Below are 22,609 nucleotides of genomic sequence, written 5' to 3'. Positions count from 1 at the left end.
GCAGAAGAAAATGAGCACAACCCACAGTTATGAGTCCTAACATGTCTTCCCAGAGCGACAGGGAAGGAGCGCACTACTGCACATCCAAAGACCAAGTGCAATTGTCATAAATCTTGAACATGACACACAAAAACGCCATCGTTCTCCCCGCCACGCCCTGCCAAATACACTTAGGAACAACTACCAAGAGATAATTATGTCGGTGTTGTAGGGGTGACTGGGGAAAAAAAATAAAAAGCAAAGAATCGTTGTTCCTGCCCTTGGGGATCATAGAGTCAAGGCCAGAGATCACTTGCAGGCATGTGGTCCTGGCTGGCACACGGGTCTGCTTTGTGAGGCCGGCACTGTGTTTTTACAACCCTTGGATTAGCTGCCACTATTTGAAAATAGGGGATTTTGCATTTAATTCCAGATTTCTGGTTTCTTGTGGAAGAGGTGAAGCTCTAGCAACACTGGACCTACACTGAGATGCAATGACCACTTGTCCATCCCTGACAGCAGGTCATGGGCTGCCTGGTGGCCAGGTTCCCCCTGGGGGCTGTCTGGTCCCTGTAGGAATGGGGATATGGAACCAGGAAGAATTGGTAAGAAGAGAAACATAAAGAGTTCATCACCATCAGAGTGAAGAGCTCACGTGAGACCTCACAGAGATGAAGGGCAGGTTCCAGGAATCGGGGAAACCCAGAGGTTTCCCAACAGTGTGTGTGGCGGCAACATGGCAGGGTGAGCATTTCCCAACAGTGTGTGTGGCTGCAACACGGCAGGGTGAGCAGTGGGTGTGGACCAGCCGGTCCTCCTCTGCCCTGCCTACCGGATGTCTCAGACAATGCTGGGAGGGGCACACGATGTCCAAGGCGAGGCTGAAACAAAGCAAAACTGGATAACTAACAAATTATAGAGAAGAAGCGAGGGCCAAGGTGTGGGAGGACGAAATCAGGAGGCAGGTTTCAGCTCAACACAGGAAGGAACTTCCTAGCAGTGTATTCCCAAGATGGCGGCATGGCCATGCTTCTAGCCTGGGCGGAGGTTGGGGGCACATGTTAACCTGGCACCCCGCATCTCAGTGAGGGGGAGAAGGTCACCAGCATGGTTGACCCTAACCCTGGAACACCCCACGGAGTTCAGGCCCACTACAGATTCCCTCGTCTCTTAGCACATGGGCTGCCTTTGAGATCCATCTCTTCCTTCCAAACAGCTGCCGAGAGAAAGAGGCTAAACGTGAATAACATCTTTGAACTTTATTTCACATCTTTCAAATCTGTCCAGATAATCCCCACCTAGATCCAATCTGCTGACTTTTTAACTAAGTATCCAAAACTGGCTGATGTTCCATTGCTTTGGCTTAATTTTTTAAAAACAGAATATTTTCTAATAGATGAAAAAAATTTCTTTTCATGCTTCACTAATGCAAAAACAGCTGAACCAATTTAGCTCAAACTTTCTCAATAGCTTGTTACAATCCTAATTAAAATATTCACATACGGTGCAAGCTTTGGGGAGCATAATATTGCACTGTCAGTCAAATTCTGGCTGAATATTTACAACCAGCTAAACAGAAAAGCAACTGCACGGCTTTTACTCTTTGTTGCCTCTTGAAGAAAATGTAGTCAGACAATTAATGGTGAGGAGATAAAAGCAAGCAAGAGGCATGGTGTTTCTCCGCTTGGCTTCACTCATCAACAACTGGGTGTAAAGACTCTCAGGGCTGCTGGCTGAGCTGGGCTGGGTAATGCCTAAACCCTTGTTTACCTGGACACTCTGGGAAACAGCAGTTCTCCGCCGGGGAATGGCCTGCTGCTTGGCAGGAGGATGTGGTGCTGCGATGACACAGAGCAGGTTACAGTCCAGCTGCGGTGCCTTCCAGATGCAGTTTCTTGGGCAAGGGACTCAACCCTCTTCCAAGATAATCCCTCGTCCATTCAATAGGAACAGTGGTCATTCCAGATGAGGCACTTCATAGAAAAGCACTGGCACATTGCCTGATGCCCAGTGAATGCTCCAGAAACGCTGCTGCTCTGCCTCATCATCCTACCTCCACGGGATGCCCAGATGAAGAAAGACAATTTGCTGAAAATACTAAAAAGAAAATTTGACTTCTGGAAAGAAACTTTAACCAAGTGCATGATAAACTTTATGCATCCGAAACCCCATAACATGCTCTCTTGACAACTTGATCATTTCCAGAACAATCCACCACCTTCCTATTCCATAAACACTCATGCCCTAACAGGCTGTGGAGAAGGCAGGAAATTTTTCAAGCATAGAGCATAGCCTGGTGGCCTGAAAGGCTTCTCAGGCCTTCTGACTGTAGTGCGCATGTGTGGTACGCATGTGTGTGCAGGTGCATGTATGAGCAGAGACAGAGATCCACGCACAGACAGGCGGCAGACAGGTGCACAGTGCACACACACACACAGGTGTGCATGTCTACATGGTTTCTCCCTTTGTCTTAACTACCAGCTACTGCTCCTCAGTGTTCTCAGAGAGTATGTCTTAAGCTGCCTCTGTTTTTTTCTCTCAGACCAGAAAACCAGGCTGAGCTTGTGTTCAATGAGATAACCGTCCCTTGGCAAGGACTGTGCGGGAGCTTGGGATGGACTTTGGTTTTCATTTATGAGGCACGTGGTCTTTTGCTTCATCTTTCACGTTTGTCTTGGATCCAGAAATTTCCACGAGAGGAAGACCTGTACCTTCACCCCCAATCACCTTCCCCTTCAGTCCTGCCGAGGTCACTGCTAAGAACCAAGGACATTTAAATCCCCATGGATGACTGGCCACGTGCTCATTTTCCTCTAAGTCCACAGTTTTGTGCCAGCAGAGGCGGAATGAGAGTCCGGTTCCTGCTCCAGCCTTTCTGAATGTTTTGCTTTCTTGGTCACCCCCTTGACTCAGAGCTTTTTTCAAGGACTTCAATTCTCCAGGGCAGGTTTGTTCAGTGTTTATTGCCTGGAAATGAAAGGATTTAGGGGTCTTTGCTAAAGGACTTAACGGTGCGTTTTTCTCCCTACTCAATGACTGCAGCCACATTTGAGGAATTTTATTCCCACAGTGGTTTTGTCTGATGTGCTGAGTGTGAAGCCAAAACCCCAAAGCCAGCAAGAATTACATCGGCTTTGCTTTTCTTTATGGGAAAATGGCCCATAAAATGTTAATGCGCCATTCCAAATGTGGCCGGTGATGCCTAATTAAGAGGATGCTCTTAGGTGCGGAGTAAGCTGCGTCGGCAGCCAGAGAGAGGCTCCCTGTGCCCTGCTCTCCCCTCACAGATGCTCTCCAGCCGCTCCTGCACCCCTGGCAGGTTCCAGCAACATGACAGTGTGACTAGGAGTGTAGGATCAAAACTGGGCTGGTCATCCCCGGGACGATAAGCCAACGAGGTCCTGTGAAGGCCAGGGCTAAACCTTGGCCGAGCAATGTGGTGGGCAGGCCCCGGTCAGCCACGGCAAGCAATGTGGGCTCCACACTGCCAGGCCATACAGGGAACCCAGCAGGTGCAGCGGGGCTGAGCCACAGGGAGGGGTCAGGACAGCCCCTCAGATGTGGGGCAAGGGAAAGCCTGGAAGTCTCTTCTCTCTCCCCTCAATTATCATCTTTGATTTATTTCAACAGCAACGGCAACAGCAGCAGCAACAGCCACCACCTGGATTGTGCTAAGCTGTCAATGTGCATCAGTGGATCCATTTTCATAAGGACCCAGCAAAGTGGGGATGGCCATCTCGAGAGCCCTTGTCAGGAAACCGTGGTTCAGAGAGGTCACGTTGCCAGGAAGAGGTAAGTCTTGGAATTCAAAGGAGAATGATTTGACTCCAGGGTCTTGGGGGATCCAGGAGGACTGTCTGGAAAACCGCCCTCTCCCACTCACGTGCTGCCGGGAGACATTTCCGCTCCTTAGAGCAGCCAGGCCCGACCTCGGCGCTGGGACATTTGGGCCTCTGGGGGGTGGGGGGCGTCCTAAGCACTGTAGGACGGTCGGCGGCACCCTGGCCTCCACCTACACGATGCCAGCACCACCCAACATCCCTAGACGTTCTCGAATGTCCCTTGAGGGCAAAATCACCCCTCGTTGAAAACCACTGCCATAGAATCTTCAGAATAATCCCCATCCCTGTAAATTATCGATTCCTCACACCTACAAGCAGGAAAACAGAGTCCTGCAACACTGACACAGAAGATAAGTCCTTTCAGCACAAAGCAGGGCTGCTGGGGTGAAAAATCATCATTCTCCATTATGCTCAAAGATAAATTTCATTAAACCAACCAAGCTAAAAAGCAATTTTCATTTGCGGATGTTTCTAACGGGGCACATTCCAGGCTCTGGCATGAAGCGCTGTTCCCACCCAGTGGAAGGTGAACTGGGGTGAATCATCGTACTGCACTCACATCACCTTCCAGAGGAAAAGGGGAAGCAGGGGAGGAGGAGGAGGGGAGGAGGAGGGGGAGGAGGAGGGGGAAGAGGAGGAAGAAGAGGAGGAGGGGGAAGAGGAGGAGGATGAGGAGGAGGAGGAAGAGGAGGAAGTGGAATTAACCTGAATTGAAAGCCAGGATGCACAAGAAGTGACCAGTCTGAGAGATGTCCACTCTCAGTGCTGTGGAATATATTCGGTTTTCTGTGAAGATTATATTCTGCAAGGCTCAGTGTATTAAGGCAGCTTACAAGGTAAAGAGTTAGATAACGGTGGTGAAATAAATTTACAGGCCAAAGTCGCAGGCATTATGCAATGCGCGAAGGCTTGGCACATCGCTGGAGATTGCTAAATTAATTTTAATGGAAGAGGAAATATTAGTCCAGATACAGGCTGCTTCAGGGACACGCGGCTGCCCCATGGTTCCAGAGACCCTGGCACCTCTGCACCCCCAGATCCCCATTCACAACCTTGAGACCCCTCCCACCAACTAAGCTTTGCCTCCAGGGGAGGAAGTAGCACATTCATCATGTATATGCTTTCCACAGGTGGAAACCTGAGACACAGCAGAGCCAACACCAGAAGCGAAGCCTGTGGCTGGAGCAGAAGAAGCAGGACAGAGTCGGGCAGGCGAGAGCCCCTGTGGCGGGTCAGAAACCTGCGGAGCTAAGAGAGGGGAGGGGAGGAGATGGGGCCCGTGGGGTCCCCAGAGCCTGAGCTCAGCCCCAGGGGCCCCTTGGTCCGGCATGCCACACAGGCAGAGAGAATGTTGAGGCTTCCTGGGTCCTGGAACCTCCTGTGCGCCGCAAGGATGGGACATTGACACACTCCTTGTCCGCAGCGTCTCACAGGTGCACGGGGTGATGGGCTCCTGGCTGCACTGCCGGATGAAGAACTCCGAAGAGCAGAAAACCAGCAAGCGGCAGACGGCCAGGAAGAAAATGCAGTGCAGGTGACCGGGGGGAGTGAATGGCAGGCTAGGAAAACAACGCCTGCAAACCAACAAGAAACAGCCAGGCCCCCTAGAGAACATCTCCATCCAAGGAGAAATATACAAACAGGCTCAAACACGAAACGGCCTACCCCAGCAGAACCAGGCGATAGAAATCAAAACAAAATACAAAGCTTTGTTTTCTTTCCACCAGGTCAGAAACGAAAAGGGCTGGACGTCCCGCGCACCGGAGAGGCTGCCCCACAGGCGGCTCACACCCCGCTGGCAGGCACGGGGGCCAGTGCAGTCCTTTCTAAAGCAATGTAAAGACGTTTGCCACATTTTCAGACGTGCTCACTGCATTGTGGAAAAACACTGGCTCTCATGAGGGACAATGCTGGCAACAAACGAACGTCACCAAAAATGACTAAATAAATTTTAATCGGGGATTTTTTTTAAACGAGGTAAAACTCTTTGTTCCGACACGGCATGTATTTCAATATATATTAAATTTTAAAAGTAAGTTGCAGGACAGAAAGACAAACTTTGCACATTGTCACTTATTTACAGAAGCTAAAAATGAAATGAACTCATGGAGATAGGAGAAGAAAGGTGGCCAGAGGCTGGGAAGGGTAGTGAGGGCAGAGTGCAGACGGTGAGTGAGCACAGAAAAAGTTAGAAAGAATGAAGAAGAGCTAGGATTTGTTAGCACAACAGGGTGACTGTACTCAATAATAATCTAATTGCACACTTAAAAATAACTAAAGGAGGCCGGGTGCGGTGGCTCACACCCGTAATCCCAGCACTTTGGGAGGCCGAGGTGGGTGGATCACCTGAGGCCAGGAGTTCGAGACCAGCCTGGCCAACATGGTGAAACCCCGTCTCTACTAAAAATACAAAAATTAGCCTGGTATGGTGGCGCCTGCCCATAGTCCCAGCTACTCGCGAGGCTTAGGCTGCAGAATCGCTTGAACCTGGGAGGCGGAGGTTGCAGTGAGCCGAGATTGCGCCACTGCACTCCAGCATGGGCGACAGAGTGAGACTGTCTCAAAAAAAAAAAAGATAAATAAAAATAAAAATAACTAAAGGAGTGTAACTGGATTAGTTTGTTACACAAAGGATAAATGCTTGAGGGGACAGCATCCCATTGCCCTGATATGATTACGGTGCATTCTACGCCTGTATCAAAACATCTCACGTCCCCCCCATACACATACATACCTGCTGTGTAGCCTCAAAAAATAAAAATTACAACAAAAGTAAGTTGCAGAACTATATGTCTAGTAAATGTCATTTATGCCAAAGTATACAGCTGTCCCTTGGTATCAGTGGGAGACTGGTTCCAAGACCTACCACCGTGCATGCCAAAATCTGTAGACGCCCAAGTCCCTGATACGAAATAGCACAGTGTGTGCGTAGAATCCAGGCACCCCCTCGCATAGACTTGAAATCACCTCTGGATCACTTATATTATGGAATACAATGTAAATGCTATGTACACAGTTGTTAGATTGTATTGTGTAGGGAAGAATGACAAGAAAAAATCTGTCCATGTTCAGTACAGGCACAATTCTTCCTCCGAATATTTCTGATCTGTGGTTGGTTGATCCAGGGAGGCAGAGCCCTGCAAATGGCCATCACCTGACCTTCCCAGCATCTGAAAGCACGGAGGACAGCAGGCCTTGAGCACGGGCTGCCCGGGGATGGAGGGAGGGCGGCTGTGACACCCAAGGCATTGCCCCCACCACAGCTGCCACCCCAGCACCACCGTGAACACAGGTTTGTTGGCGTTCAGGATGCAGCACATGCCTGGTTCCTGCTTCAGACCGGCTCAGCCTAGAGCGATGGTCTCTGTATTGAGTCACTCTTCAATGTGTACAATATTTCCTTTCAAAATTATTCCTAGAAAATAAAAAAAAGGCAGCATGCGACATGCTCATGGAATCATAATTCCAAGTGAAGCTTGAGTTTCCAACACAGCATCATCTTTCCCATAAGAGTGGCAATTTTCCGCTCACAACACAACTTTTCTCCCCAGGCCACTTGAGGGCGCAGTTAGCACTGGGGGGGGGCCTCTGCCTGATGCTGGGTGGGAGAGGCAAGGTCAGAGGTGTCCTGCTGGCATCATGGCACTGGGAGAGGGCAGGGATCTGCCTGACTCTGGGTGGGAAAGGCAAGGTCAGAGGTGTCCCGCTGGCCTCTGCAGCACTGTGGGGGGCCTGCCTGACCCTGGGTGGGAGAGGCAAGGTCAGAGGTGTTCCGCTGGCCTCTGCAGCACTGGGGGAGGGGGAGGTGTCTGCCTGACGCTGGGTGGGAGAGGCAAGGTCAGAGGTGTTCCGCTGGCCTCTGCAGCACTGGGGGAGGGGGAGGTGTCTGCCTGACGCTGGGTGGGAGAGGCAAGGTCAGAGGTGTTCCGCTGGCCTCTGCAGCACTGGGGGAGGGGGAGGTGTCTGCCTGACGCTGGGTGGGAGAGGCAAGGTCAGAGGTGTCCCGCTGGCCTCTGCAGCACTGGGGGAGGGGGAGGTGTCTGCCTGACGCTGGGTGGGAGAAGCAAGGTCAGAGGTGTTCCGCTGGCCTCTGCAGCACTGGGGGAGGGGGAGGTGTCTGCCTGACGCTGGGTGGGAGAGGCAAGGTCAGAGGTGTTCCGCTGGCCTCTGCAGCACTGGGGGAGGGGGAGGTGTCTGCCTGACGCTGGGTGGGAGAGGCAAGGTCAGAGGTATTCCGCTGGCCTTGTGGCACTGGAGGGCGGCTGCCTCCTCGCCCACATGTGTCCAGTTCCTTCCTGACATGACTGTCCCAGTGGGCAGGGGCAGGAGGAGAGGGATTCCTGGGTTCCTGGCGCTGGGCTGAGTCTGGCACTGAGGCCACCACTCGCTCGAATGGTAGCATGAGCTGCCCTGCCCCGGGGGTGAGCTGTGCTCTGAGCTGGGTCCCACATGAACTTGGTCCTTTCCCCTCCTGGAAAACTTAGGAGCACATGCTCCTTTCCACGTACATGGTTGGCCTCAGAGGGGTCTTATTTGCAGAAGGATCAGCAAGACTGCCCCTGAGAGCCGTCTCCACGAGGGACTGTGTGATTCTTTATAACACAAGGGCGTGCCTCACGGGGCATGGAAGGGAGCTGTGGGGAGCCCCAGCTTTCACTCCACAGACCTCCCGATGAGGCCTGCTGTGCCATACCCCAGGTCCATACACATCCAGCAGCATCCAGCAACGGGGACATCAGCCAGCACCCCAGCTCCCGGCCTCGTCTGGATCCTGGCTCTGCGCTCACCCTTCCCGGGCACCTGCAGGATTTTCCCTCACTGACTTTGTAAATTAACTGGCTCACGCCTCAAGTGGGCATTTTCTCCCTATGATTCAATTCACATCAAACATTAGCTGGTGCTCAAGATGAAAACTTCAGCCCAGATGTGCTGAATCCTACCCAGCACAGGAGCTGCCACACCCGGCTGCGGAGCTGGGGCTGAATCCCAGGTTGCAGCCACCTTTCTCCCCAGAACCACCAACTCCACGGCTACGGAGCAGCCTTGGGTTGGGGCAGGTAGAGCATATGTGGCCCTGCAGGGTCCCCGCTGTCTGTTCCTGATGACCCAGCCTGTCCATCGGGGCTGCAGGCCGGTTCCTGAGAAGTGGCCCATGTTCCATATAGACAGGAACTCTGTCCCATGACATACGTGTGATCTTCCAAGCACAAAACCCTGGATGCTGGGGCCGCACAGCATAAAATAAAACAGGAAGCTAACTACATAAAGGAACAATTGCGGCACAATGTGGCCCTCCCACCACCACTGTTATTCCCAGAAGCCCTGGGCAGCCAGGACAGGAGGGGCTGCGGGTCTCTATGCCTCTTCTTTCAAATGTAGTCCCAAAACAAACGAAAAACAAACAAGAACTTTTAGAGACCCTGTGTCAATTACATCCAAAAATCCAAATGGCTTTCTCTTCCATACTTGAGAGAGAAACAGTTACTGGCGGCCATCAGAGGGTTTATTTCAAAGCCAGGAAGAAAGAGGCCCTTTGGAAGTGACAAGAGCTTTTATACTTCCTGAAGTCCTGTTCTCACTTCTGCCCACTCGTCCACCTGCCCAGGGCCATAAACTCCCAGCCATTTGGAGAGATTCAGCCAGATTATTGAAAGAAGATATCATGATACATAAACTGATCCTGGGTTATTTAAACACCGGAAGTGAAAGAAAATTAAAGAGAACAGAAGTGAAGCTCTCACTGGAAGCTCAGCTTTAAGATGAGAAAAAGTGGGCAGCATTCAGTCTCTCTAGGTCTTGGTGGAGGGAACCGCTGGCAACAGTTCCCTTGTCTCCTATTGATATGGTCTGGCTATGTCCCCAGCCAAATCTCATCTTGAATTGTAGCTCCCATAATTCCCATGTGTCATGGGAGGGACCCCGTGGGAGGTAATTGAATCATGGGGGTGGGTCTTTCCCGTGCTGTTCTCGTGATAGCGAATAAGTCTCATGGGATCTGATGATTTGATAAAGGGGAGTCCCCTGCACATGCTCTTTTGCCTGCCACCATGTAAGATGTGCCTTAGCTCCTCCTTTGCCTTCCACCATGAATGTAAGACCTTCCAAGCCATGTGGAACTGCGAGTCCATTAAACCTCTTTCCTTTATAAATGACCCAGTCTCAGGTATGTCTTTATTAGCAGTGTAAGAACAGACTAATATACCTACTCTCTCCAAATGTAGGAATGCTTACCATTATGGGGCGAAACAGACCAGTGGGAAGTCACCATGTTACAGGCACACCTGTTCCCAGAAGAAAGTCTTCCCCGATAATACACACGTGGGTTTCCACTCTTCCCTTTAACCATGGAAAGGGCTGTTCCTCATTTTAAGGACTTGTTATTCCCTCTGACTATCAGACTTTGCAGACACAGGACTCATCTGATATTCCAGGCACGGTTCAAACGCCATGCTTCCCACCTGGTTTGTGGGTCCCAATTCAAATCAGCTGAAGTTGAAGAGACCAATGTCCCGTGCCGAACCAGGAAAGCACACCCCGCCAAATGTTATGAGACAAAGAAGGCGAGTTGGCGCTTCGCAAACACCAGCCCCCGCCAGCTTATTTTGCCTGATAAGCATATACATCTCCCGACTAAGCTGAACAATGGACTTCCAGGTCCACGATGAATCAGAACAGCCTTATGTGTCTCTCAGCGCTCACACTAGAGGGAAACTGGAAAGGTCTAATTCATTTTAAATAGCACTGACAGCTGCCATTAATGATTCCTTCTGCGATCTGTCATACATATTTATATTTAGTCACCGCAGGAAGCATCGTGGGAGTCAATATCCTCTTACATTTTTTCTCTTTCTTTTTGGTAAAGTATGAAGAGGGGGAAATGTGTAGATAGTTTTGTTTTTCCTTTAAGCAAAATCCAAGTAAGAACATTTGGAATCATCTAAGACAGAAGCCTCATCTAATCTAGGTGTATATTTCTAAAACCACGTTGGCCATCACGCAGACTCAGCCGCCACTAGTAAAATGTGTGGAGCAAGCATTTAGCCAGGCAGCGGCACGGGCTGTCACCTGTCTTCTGAATGCGGGCAGGGCCTCACGGCCATGTGGGGCACGAGGCTATGACTTTGGTCTCCCACAGAGGTCAGGTTCTGAGAACCGCAGTCCATGAGTCAGGGGTAATGTAGGTTCCTGCTGGGAGTTCGGGCCCTACACTGGGTTCTACAGATGAAGTTAGTAAAACGTGGTACTGACCTTGAAGAACCCTTGGGCTAATGGAGGAGACAGCCATGAAACCATGTTATTAGACAATGGGAGAGATGGTTTATGAGACATGTGTGCCAATCTGCAGGGGAGCAAGCAGAACTGCCTGGGAATGTGGGATGGGGATGAGGGACAGATGGGGGGCACCCGTACGTGGAGTCAATATGATCTAATTCCCACCCTGGCCCACTCACCGTCGCCTCTCACCTGCATAGCGCAGAGCCTGGCTTCCTGCTGCACCCTGGCCCCCGGAATCCATTCTCATGCCACAGCAGAGGGGTTAATTTTTTTTTTTTTTTTGACAGAGTCTCGCTCTGTCACCCAGGCTGGAGTGCAGTGGTGTGATCTCAGCTCACTGAAACCTCCGCTTCCTGGGTTCAAGTGATTCTCCTGCCTCAGCCTACTGAGTAGCTGGGACTACAGGCACGTGCCACCACGCCCAGCTAATTTTTGTATTTTTAGTAGAGATGGGGTTTCGCCATGTTGGCCAGGCTAGTGTTGAACTCCTGGCCTCAGGTGATCCGCCTGCCTCAGCCTCCCAAAGTGCTGGGATTACAGGCGTGAGCCACCATGCCCGGTCAGCAGAGGGGTTAATTTAAACCTCAAATCCAACAGCACGTTCCTGCTCAGACCCTCCAAAGCCTCCTCATGGCCGTGGGAATGCAGCCCAAGCTCCTTGCTGGGGCTCCCATGGCTGGCCTGGCTGATCCCTGCCTCCCTCCGACCACACCAACCATGCACTGATTCTACTCATGGCCCCTGGGGCCGTCTTGTGGTTCCTCTAGGACCTCCTGACTATCCTGGTCTCAGTCCCCTGCCTCTGCTGTTCCCTCTTCCAGACACACTCAGCCCCAGGGCCTGACAGAATGGAATGACCACCTCACCCTGAGAGAGACTGTCCTGACTGCACATCACCCCTCAGCCTCCAGCCCATGATGCTGGTTTCCCTGCAGCATTTATCCCGCGTGGGTTAATTTGTCCCGCGTGAGCATTTATTCTGCTCACTGTGTACTTCCCTGTGTGTTCTGCCTCTCCCAGGGGAGTGCCACCCGCATGAGGAAGGGAGAACGTGCTGCCAGAATGCTTACAAAATACCAGGTCCACAGCAGGTGCTCAGCAAACATTGATCGAATAGAAGACGCAGAGCTGACAGGGCACCCTAAGGAATGCATACCTTGGAGAGCGCCTCTCCTCTTGCCCATGTCTTTCCTGCCAGTGGCAGGGGTTGTCCACCTCTCTAGTTTGTAACCTGGAAGCACAAAGAGCCCTCCCCGAGGATGAAGCCCCAACACCACTCACTCCTGGCAGCCGCTTCCTTGCTGTCCATTCAGGATCTCAGTGCAGGGGTGACCACAAACTCTCTCTTCCCCTGTTCCCCTCCTCGTTGCCAGAGGGGAAAGTAAACCTGACAGGCAGTGAATCAACATTTCCTTGTCTAATAAGATGAAGGCATCGTGAGGAGTGTCCCAGGTAGGGCTCCTTACGTTGTTATTACAGATTTTCCACCCTGGGTATTCCATAAAGGCATGGTTACCTTGTCCTCACGGACTTCTTTTACCCCATACTACATTAAGCTGAGTAAAAATGAAATACGGAATGTTCAATGAAACATTATATTCCCAATGAAACATGGCGAATTAATTACAAGAACGAACACTGCTTTTAAAAACCAGAGGGCTTGAGTTTCACTATGCTCATCATCGCGGGGTGGTGTTGTCTGAGGTTTTAAAACTATTCCAGGTGAGAAAGTAGAGAAGAACATGGCGTGTTGTCACTCTCGATTTCCCTGGGGTGGAAATATGACTTTTACAGATGAAGGTAACTGCAAACATGCCAGCAGTGAGGGAGGCGCACTGGGCCTGGCCCGAAATGCACACATGGAACCCATTAGGTTTCTCATTAGGAGCATGTGTTGACTCTTGGTAGAATTTGATCGTCCATCGAAAGAGACAGCTAGGAATCCAAACGAGATAAAAATCACTTCTGCCCCCACTATTACCTGCGCATAAGTAGCTCTACCTTGGACTTGACCTTTTACCTGAGAGATCTCACTCAGAACACAGCACAGTTGGGCACTCAGGTGCATCCTAGACTCGAGTCTGCGGGTCAATAGCCGGCGCAGAACCTGACTTTGTTTCAAAGGACGCAAAGCCGAGGAAGTGTTCTATAATTCTGCTGATTCCGACCCTTGCTTGGTGGCTTCATATGATCAATTTTAATCTTAGGAAAGCCTTATTTTGAGCCATTGTCTATGAGCTTGTGTTAGTATTACAGACATCACACAAAAAGTAAAATATTAAAGTTGAACACAAGACACTGGGAAACAAGGATTTAGTCAAAAATCACAAAGAAAAATCAATCTAGGAACTGGCAGCATGTATGAAACTCTCTAAATTAATGAGCAACAGGGAAACACAATGGCTTACCTCTTAGTGAAGAGGCGGTTTGGCCCCTGGCTATCTCATCACTGAGAACAATGGCAAATATAGAAAACAAAAATACATGAGGCCATTCATGAAAAAAGAACAGACACAACTTCAATAAGTTGCTTCTCTCGAACTCACCATGTTAACAACCATAATTTATATCTGTATTTTTGAAAATTACTTCAAATCCTTTCTTGATTGTGGACAGAAGAATAATTACAAATAAACAGAAAAGCCTGACAGACCAGCCAAGTCATTCCAGTCCTGCAGTAATTCCCAAATGAACATGCAAACTGAGGGCCCAGTCCATGTACAGCCCCCTTGTGTGACCCCAGTGGAAGCAAAGCCTTACAGCTGAACCCATCAAAGGGTGTAAGAATACACACAAAAAACAAAGCATCAGTATCAACCCCCGCAGGCCCCATGGACCATTCCACTCGCCCTTCGAGGCCAGCCCTAACCCGTCTCCTCCCCAGTCCTCATTAGTGCTTCCCTCGGCCCCACAGTGACCGCTCACGTGGAACTTCCTGGAAGTCCTCAGTGCACTCTGAGCTTCACCACGCTCCTATGTCTTTGCTCAAACTTGTTCCTCTTCCTGGAGCACCCCTCTTCATTCTTCACGTAGGTACAATCCTTTAAATCCAAGTGAAGTCAGTTTCTCAGGGAGTTATTCAGTGTTTATTTTTTTTTTAATCTTGGCCCCTGTAGTGTCTAGCCTAAGTGGGCCCCATTCTTTCAACCGATGTGACCAACTGTCTTTGCTGTGACAGGCACATGAGGTTGACACAATGGCCCATACCCTCTTGGGGCTTCGAGCCTAAAATCATGCTAATCTGTTTCTAATATGAGCCGGGAAAAGTGCTCTAAAGCAAAGTCACATGGTACTAGAAGAGCACCTAACATCTTCAGCCAGGACTGCAGACTACTGGAGACATGATGCAAACCACAGCAGGATGAGCCTTTTTGGAAGCCACTGAGACCCTGGGGTCATTTGTTACCGCAAGCACAACTTGCCTATGCTGACTGCCGCTGGAACCACTGAGAGTTTTATACTGCTGCAGCAGGATCTTAAAAAACAAATATACAAAACTGATGTGTTTCTTAAACACATCACAAACGTTGCTTGAGAGCCGCCTGGGCTCCAACACTGATACACAGCAGACACCCATGCACACACACATTTTCTCACATAACTATTCAAGAATTCTAGTTAAATATTGTTCTTTTCATGTTCCTGGCTCCCAGCCAATCCCTTGATATAATCTGAATGAAAATCATTTTTTGGCAAGGACTGCTAACCTGAAGTTTCTTTTACCTTAAGTCACAATCATTTTGAGTCTTATTTTCCAGCCTAGAACAGACATTCATCTACTTATCCACATTACGCATGCTAAGTGCAAAAACTCTTCAGAAACAGAACATATTCCAAAAGGGGGATCAGCAAATGTGCGTGTCACCAGCCACAGCACGAATGAGCATCCTCCACCCTGAGCAGCAGCTTTGAAATGACACCATGAGGCATCCAGAGCCTAAGAACTCATCAGTGTGTCCCTTCATAACCAGTGAGGTCATCTGTGAGGGTCAGGGGAAAAGTCTATTTGAGAGCATTGGGCCGTAGGTGGGCGATTTCAAATCCATTCATATTCAAGAGGCTTCAGTTGCTCATGTTACTTTTTGTTTTTGTTTTAAAAGAGGCTAATGTTCATTTGAGATGCCACCTTTATGTCTGGCTATAATCGCCGCACAGAACTTTAAAACAGAGCATTTTTTTATTCACAAATTTAATCTGCTGCCCCCTGGGCTCTCACGGTCTCCATGATTAACAGAGAATCACTTCCAAGTCAAGGAAATCTCCAGAGAAGAGGGTCTGTGTGGATCTCCCCGCCCAGGATACTGCAGCCCATCCTTCCCAGCCAGGGCAGAATGAATGGTCTGAGTCGGGGTCCCCAACCCCCGGGACTGGACTGGTCCTGGTCTGTGGCCTGTTGGGAACAGGGCTGCATCGCAGGTGAGCAGCAGGTGAGTGCACGAAGCGTCCTCTGTATTTACAGCTGCTCCCCCTGGCTCACATTCTCGCCTGAGCTCCACCTCCCATCAGATCAGTGGCAGCATTAGATTCTCATAGGAGCTCAAACCCTATTGTGAACTGTGCATGTGAGGGATCTAGGTTGCACACTCCTTATGAGAATCTAATGCCTGATGATCTGTCACTGTCTCCCATCACCTCCAGATGGGACTGTTTGGTTGCAGGAAAACAAGCTCAGGGCTCCCACTGACTGTACGTCATGGTGAGTTGTGTAATTCTTTCTTTATATATCACAATGCAATAATAAGAGAAATAAAGTACACAATAAATGTAAAGCGCTTGAATCATCCCCAGACCATTCCCTACCCCTGATCTGTGGAAAAACTGTCTTCCATGAAACGGGTCCGTGGTGCCAAAAAGGTGGAGGACCGCTGGTCTAAGTCATACAGCCTCATCTTTTCAATCATTGCTGTCCCAGGAGACGAAAGCCTCCCCTTCCCCAGACCCTACATGCACGGCTGGCAGTCATCCATAGCTCTGCCTCAGTGCCACTGCTGCCAACAGCCTCACCCACTATGGCCTAAGCATTTCTAAAGAGTTTTGTGAGTTCCAGAATCCCAGATTAAACAACCAGCTTCCTCCGCATTCCATGCTCCACTGATACTGGGGGCAAGAAAAGGAGACGCAAACCCCTAGGAAATGACTGTCCTGGGTCCTCTCAAGGCAGGATGGGCGTCTCCAAGTCCCGCCCACTTGGTCTCTGGCCTGTCACTCTCCAAGCTTCTCCATTGCACTCTGAAGATGCCCTGTGCTGAAAATGGTCATAAAAATGCAACAAACAGATGGGCTCATGAGACCTTCTGCCAATCACTTCCAATTACTCAGCGGCCTATTAATAGCACATGGCAATTAATCAACAAAGGTGTTTATCATCTGAGAAGAAGGAGCTTCTGCTTTGGAATAATGTTATTCTCCAATCTTCTCATTTACCAGTTTTCAAGGCTGCTAAAAATCATGATCTCAAACTCCTTTCTCAACACCATTTCATCTAAAAAAAAAAAAAAAGAAAAAAAAGTATATGAAACCAAGTAATCTTGCCCTGACAGTTTGGTCAAACAAAGGTAATGCTACTTTTTTGGCTACTTCACAATTCCCAGATTTGGCCAATATTAGGCCATAAAATTGCTTTCCCTGTCACTGGAGTCATTTATTTCTCTCCTGAGTTTACATAGCTGAAGCCAAAGTTTAATGAAAGTAATGACAATGACAACCATTTCTGCAGGTCAAGCTCTGTGCCCCATTTTGTGCTAAGCACTTATTCCCCTTCTGTCTGATCACAACCAAGAGTGATGCCTTCAACCAAAATGATTTCTTCCTTAAAAATAGTGGGAAAATTCACAGAACACACTGCAACAGCACTCACATCTTGAAATGTGTTTATCTCATGCTTGCACTTTATCTCACTGAGCGAGAAGGGCAAGCTTACGGTGAAGGCCAGGATCGTGACTGTCTCTCCAGGGAAGGAGGTGAGGAAGGGTTTCATCCCAAGCGGCCTCGTGTAGCGGACGGCAAGGCTGCTGCTACCTGCTGCATCTGCCCAATGGGGATGTTGCTTTCTGTTGCTTGGCAGATTTAAGCCAACACCTAGTTCACATTTTGAAACTGTGCTCATGAAGGTGTGGCTAATGTAGCCCTTACTGGGCAAAAACTTAGATTTACTTATTTGCACCCCAATATTCAGGATTTTATAGGTAAACAGAATCAAGTATCAACCCAGTGGGCTAAGAAACTATCTCAGCCTGGGCAACAAAGTGAGACCTCGTCTCTAAAATAAAAAATCAGTTGAGCGTGGAGGTGTGTGCCTGTGGTCCCAGCTATTTAGGAGGCTTAAGCAGGAGGATTGCTTGAGCCCAGAAGATGGAGGCTGCAGTGAGCCGTGATCATGCCACTGGACTCCAGCCTGGGCAACACAGCAAGACACTGTCTTGAAAAAAAAAAAAGAAACATATAAATAAAAGAAACAAACACTTGTTTTATGGCCCACTCTAAGTCCTTGGTCCAGCAATTATGTCATGATGCTTAACTTTACACAAATCATGACAGAATCCTATTTGGAAAGTCCAAGTTGCCACCTCATGGAAAAGCCCCTTTAGCAAAATATCTCCGACAGATGGACACCGGACTTGGTTTATTCACCCACGATGGAGGCTGCATTATGTGCTGGACAGCGGCAGGCTGGCAGCTGGCTCCCTGTCAGAGGCTCTGGCTGTTGGCAACTCATCCATATGTTCACCTAACACCATCTCCCTGGTGCCCTCCACTGTACACTGTGACTCAGGGTCAGGTTGAGTCTCATTCCTCGTCACCTGTTGGTTCTCCCAATGCCTGATTTTCTCTCCCTTGCTAGCTCCCCTTCCCTTCACTCCAGTCCCCTTGTTGGGGTTACTATATCCTTCAATCAGAATATTATTTTCCAGTCTCCCATTCAAAGTTTTAAATGATGGGATTATACCTATCTGGGTTTTAAAATTATGTCAAAGAGGCTTTCTGGGAATTATACTTCATTAATTAACTCATCATCTTAAACTCAGTAATACCCTTTTTATTCATAAAAGGAACTCAGAGGTAATGAGATAGCATTTAAATAACTCTTTAGAGGTGGGACTAATTCAGAGGACTGTTCCCTTCGAACATTCTAAGTCAGTTGCTCTATAGGGCACACTGAATAGTTGCTCTGATCCAGCACGTGGAAGAGTCCTCTCAAATTCTCCATCAGATAATGGATCCCTCTAAGACTTCCAATCCCCAGCGATGCCTGCAGGGAACTGAGCATGAGGAAATATCTAGGTGTCCATGGCACAGGTCTGGAGAAAGGCAAAGAGCAGGCAGGAAGCCCACGTCACAATTTCATTCATAACCTACCACAAAGTCCCTTAATCACTCTCACAGCTTTCTGCATGACCCTGATTTTTATCTGGACTCAATAATTCCATCTATTATGAGAGAGTCTGATGTAAAAAAAAGTATGTACGATCTCTTCATCAAGCCCATCACAAGACCAACACTGTTTATTTAACTATGAAATATTTCAAACACACAGGAATGTCCCAAAAATGATCACACACACACATGCACGCACATGTGCAAGGCGCACACACACTCCACCTAAATTTAGCAGGTGAGAACATTCATCATCTTTGCTTCAGATCTCCAGGAAGTGTCACACATTCTAGTCGAAGTATCACCATTATACCATCATCATCATCACCATCAGTGGAAGACCTGTTTGCTCATTGTCTTCCATCCCAGTCCCTTCCTCCACAGTGGGAACCATGATTTGGAAATTGGTCTATGTGTCCTCTCTGTTCATGTTCATGCTTTCATTCCATATGAACACAAAAATAAAATATAGTGTTTGGGGATGTTTTTAAACATCATATAAACAATACCATTTTGTCAAAATAATTCTGCAATTTTTACATACTAATATGTTAGAGATTCATCCATGAGAACATGAATATATGGGGGGTGTGTGCGTGTGTATGTGTGGCTTACTACAGAATTGTAGTGCTTGAATATATCACAATTTACATATTTATTCTCCTATCATTGGACATTTTGGTTTCTTTTTGTTTGTTTTTGCCATGATGAAGAATACTGCAATAAATTTCCCAGGTAATCTCTTTGGAGGCATGTTCAAGAGCATCTCTAGGTGTTTGCTTCAGAAACAGCAGAAACACACACATAAAATGAATGATGGAACTTTCTCTAAGATTCTCAGCCTTACAATATTATCTTCGCCCTGAGGATAGTTCAACATTTTTAAAAATAAACACTTTCTGGGGAACTATTAAGTATAATTAAAAAGTCTCTTTTTAATTCTAATTTAAATCTCTGCATTGGGCAAGTGCTTGGTATTATTATTACAAATAAACAGTAATGGTCAGTCAGGGAGCAACTTAGTCTGGAGGGTCAGGGAAGACTCCATGAACAAATTAAAGTTAAATCCAGGTCAGAGGACCAGGCAGATTGGGGAGGGAGCAAATATCTAGGCAGGAGAAGCAGCAAGAGACAAGTCCCCAAGTCCAGACGGGGCCTCATTCGCCGATTCCCATTCTTCTGGAGAACGAGTCTTCACGGTGAGAAAACAACGTCTTTGGCTCTTCCACTTCCATTCCTGGTCAAATCTTATGTACAACTACTCAATTGTTGCCAAGAAAGAATGTTCCCTTTTGAGATTTTTAGGTGCAGGAAAAACCTCTGCTGGCTTTAAGATCCTGATACCCTGATTTTTTTTTCTCTTCAATTTTTTCCCAATCTCCCAAGTTAAAGTACCTTGATAACTTGTGCTTTTTAAGTGTTTTTAAGCAAAATCTGTAGAAAATGAATAGTTGAACAATGAAGCTATGCATTGTCTAATATTTCTTTCCTTGGTCAAACCAAAAAGACAAACTGAGCCCCGTGACTTTTTGAGGATAGCTAGAGGTGATTTCAATGACTCTGATCTCTCCTTATTACTGGATTCTCTGCAAGTCCTACCACCCATCCTTGTGACTAAAACATTGCAAAAGACCCCAATGAAGAGTAGGAGTCCTTGGATATCTTCCCAGTTAATAAGAAAACTGTAAATGCTATTGTGAAATAACCAAACTAATTAACCCCCTGCAGTTTGAGAAAACTAAAAACCCCAGGGCAGAAACTCACACATCTCAGAATTACCAGAGGAAAGAAGGAAGCTCCATTTCTATCTTCACAGCAGGGCAAATGATTGGTGCGGGCACAGGTTTAGAAAGTAGAATAAAGCACACATACTAAAGGAGAAACCACAGCTCAAAGAAATAGAAATCTTACAGATTATGAAGGTCATGGAATGGAATGTCAAGCTTCCCAAGCAGGGATGACAATTCAGCATGGTGTGAAAATATGAGGTTGATGCACTCACAGGGAGAGGCTTTGGAAATGGACACATGCAAAACTCTTTAAGGAAATACTGAAGAAACCTGAGGATTAGACCCAGGAAGTATCTATACACCATCACCACCACCACGACCATGCTTTCCCTCATCTTCCCTTTCATCATCATCCGTTTTTATCATTGTCATTGTCAACATTATCATCATCACCCTCTTTCTTCTCCTCATCATCCATTGTTATCAGCATCATCAGCAGCAGCAGTAGCGTGATCTCCATCAGTTTTATTATCATTATCATTATGATCTCCATCATCATCATCACCATTGTTATCATCACCATCATTATCATCACCATCATTATTATCACCATCATTATCATCACCATTAGTGTTATTATCATATCACCACCATCACCATCACCATCATCTTCACCACCACCATTGCCTAACAATGCACTCTGCCAGCCACATGGAAGATGATAACTCACTAAGTTCTCAGGTATCCATGGGATGTGGCTGCCTAGAGCATCCCCACTTTATGGCGAAGGATCAGTCACTCAGAGAGGGAAAGCAGCTTGTTCAGGAACATCACAGCTAAGAACAGTTGAGTCAGGATTCCAACCCAGGCCTGTCTCCAGCCCTTGCTGTGAACCTCACAGTGAGAGGGAGCTATGACACAGAGAAGAGGCATGTCATTCCAAGGTTACAGACCTCTGCCTGATAGCCAGAATCTGCCCACCCACCCAGACCACCTGTCTTCACTCCCCAGTCATTGCTTTCCCCTGAGAGAGACTGGGATGTGCTTCTACTGGGCAGGTATTGTTTCAAGAGAAGAGAGATAGGAAGGAACACGTCTCAGTCCTTCCTTGTAAAGTCCAGCAGGGAAAGCAGGTCAGACAAACAGGAGCCAGGACTCAGGGACTCTTACCTTCAACTGATTCTCAATGAATTGGGCAATCGACCCTCTGAAGTGAGAATCTACATTGACAATCTCCCCCATTTTTGGGTCAAAAAGAAGTTTCATCCTACAGGCTGGCTATAGAAGGCCCTGGCTTCCTTCCACCAAATACTTAGCAAGGACCTGCTCTGCACACAGGCTTGGCATTGATCAAGGGAGGCTGAAGGAGGCCCACAAAAATGCCTTCCAGGTAGGAGACAAAAAGGGGCTTGAAGAAGGAATAGGTATTGTGCTGAGGAACAGGTGCCATGAGAAAACAGGTCACCACAGGGAAAGCATGGTCGTGGTGGTGGTGGTGGTTGTGGTGGAGGAGGAATCAGGGAAGAATCAGTGAAACACTCATGTTTAATGATAATGTTGATGGTCGAGGAGGAAGAAGAGGAAAAGGCACTTCTATGTGTTAGTCACAGTGCATATTTTATACACATCACTCATTTAACCTTCAAAATATCCCCACTGTATAGATAAGAAAAAAAAGGCTTATTGAGTGAACTGTGATTCACCCATGGTCTCATAGCAGCCAAGTGGGTCTGTTTGGGCCCTGTAGGATTTAAACAGGCAGGAATGGAGAGAAGGCACTCTAAGAAGGGGAAAGTTCCCAGGCGGGAGAGCTGATGAGAATGCATCTCCTGGTGATCATATCTGCACCTTCTCCCCCACAGTATCGAAAACAAGCTGGATAATGACAAAAAACCTTGAGATTCTCTCACACTGGCCAGTTGTTTAAGAGGTGATCATGATGTGGGCCGCGTTTCTACTTTCATCATTAAAAAACCACATAAATAAGGGCAAGGTACCAAAAGATCCTTGCGTCAACCTGGATGATTCTGATTGGATCAGAGAAGCAGAAACAGTCATCAGTGGGTAGAACCAGCTCTTACCAAAGTCACCCTTTAAACAACTTCAATAGCCAAGACAGGATGCAGATGCTAGCCCCTTTACACAAATAGCTGCCTATGAACCACACCCTGAGCCTTCGGCACCCGAGCCAGGGAAGTGTTCAGGTGGGGCGCATTATGCTCTCCTTCTCTAAAGGTGAACTCAGATGCCCTCCATGGAGGGAGTTTTCTGACAATTTGCACGACTTATTGATCCCACCTCAGTTTGAATTTTCTTGACGGAAATCTGAATGAGTCATGGAGATTCAGAGAAATGTGTTAGTTCTCTTATTAGGAACAACTGCTGGTGCAATTAGGGTCCCACTGGGGC

At 48.0% G+C, this 22,609-nt stretch overlaps 1 protein-coding gene across 3 annotated transcripts in view, besides 1 other annotated feature; it reads right to left on the bottom strand.

The window, feature by feature from the left end:
- The window catches only part of CDH4 (cadherin 4), a 688,357-nt gene that overhangs the window by 582,498 nt on the left and 83,250 nt on the right, over window positions 1-22,609 (bottom strand). The gene's annotated exons all lie outside the window — the stretch shown is intronic.
- Window positions 3,654-4,397: an enhancer, noted in NCBI's record as "H3K4me1 hESC enhancer chr20:59928779-59929522 (GRCh37/hg19 assembly coordinates)". NCBI's record gives its function as "activates a minimal SCP1, AML or CMV promoter by ChIP-STARR-seq in naive H9 embryonic stem cells {active_cell/tissue: H9 hESC(naive)}" and the evidence as "EXISTENCE:reporter gene assay evidence [ECO:0000049][PMID:30033119]".

The sequence above is a fragment of the Homo sapiens genome, chromosome 20, assembly GCF_000001405.40.
Source record: "Homo sapiens chromosome 20, GRCh38.p14 Primary Assembly".
Classification (NCBI taxonomy): Eukaryota; Metazoa; Chordata; class Mammalia; order Primates; family Hominidae; genus Homo; species Homo sapiens.
The sequence above is the reverse complement of the archived record's forward strand: the minus strand, read 5'-3'. Positions and strand labels throughout refer to the sequence as shown.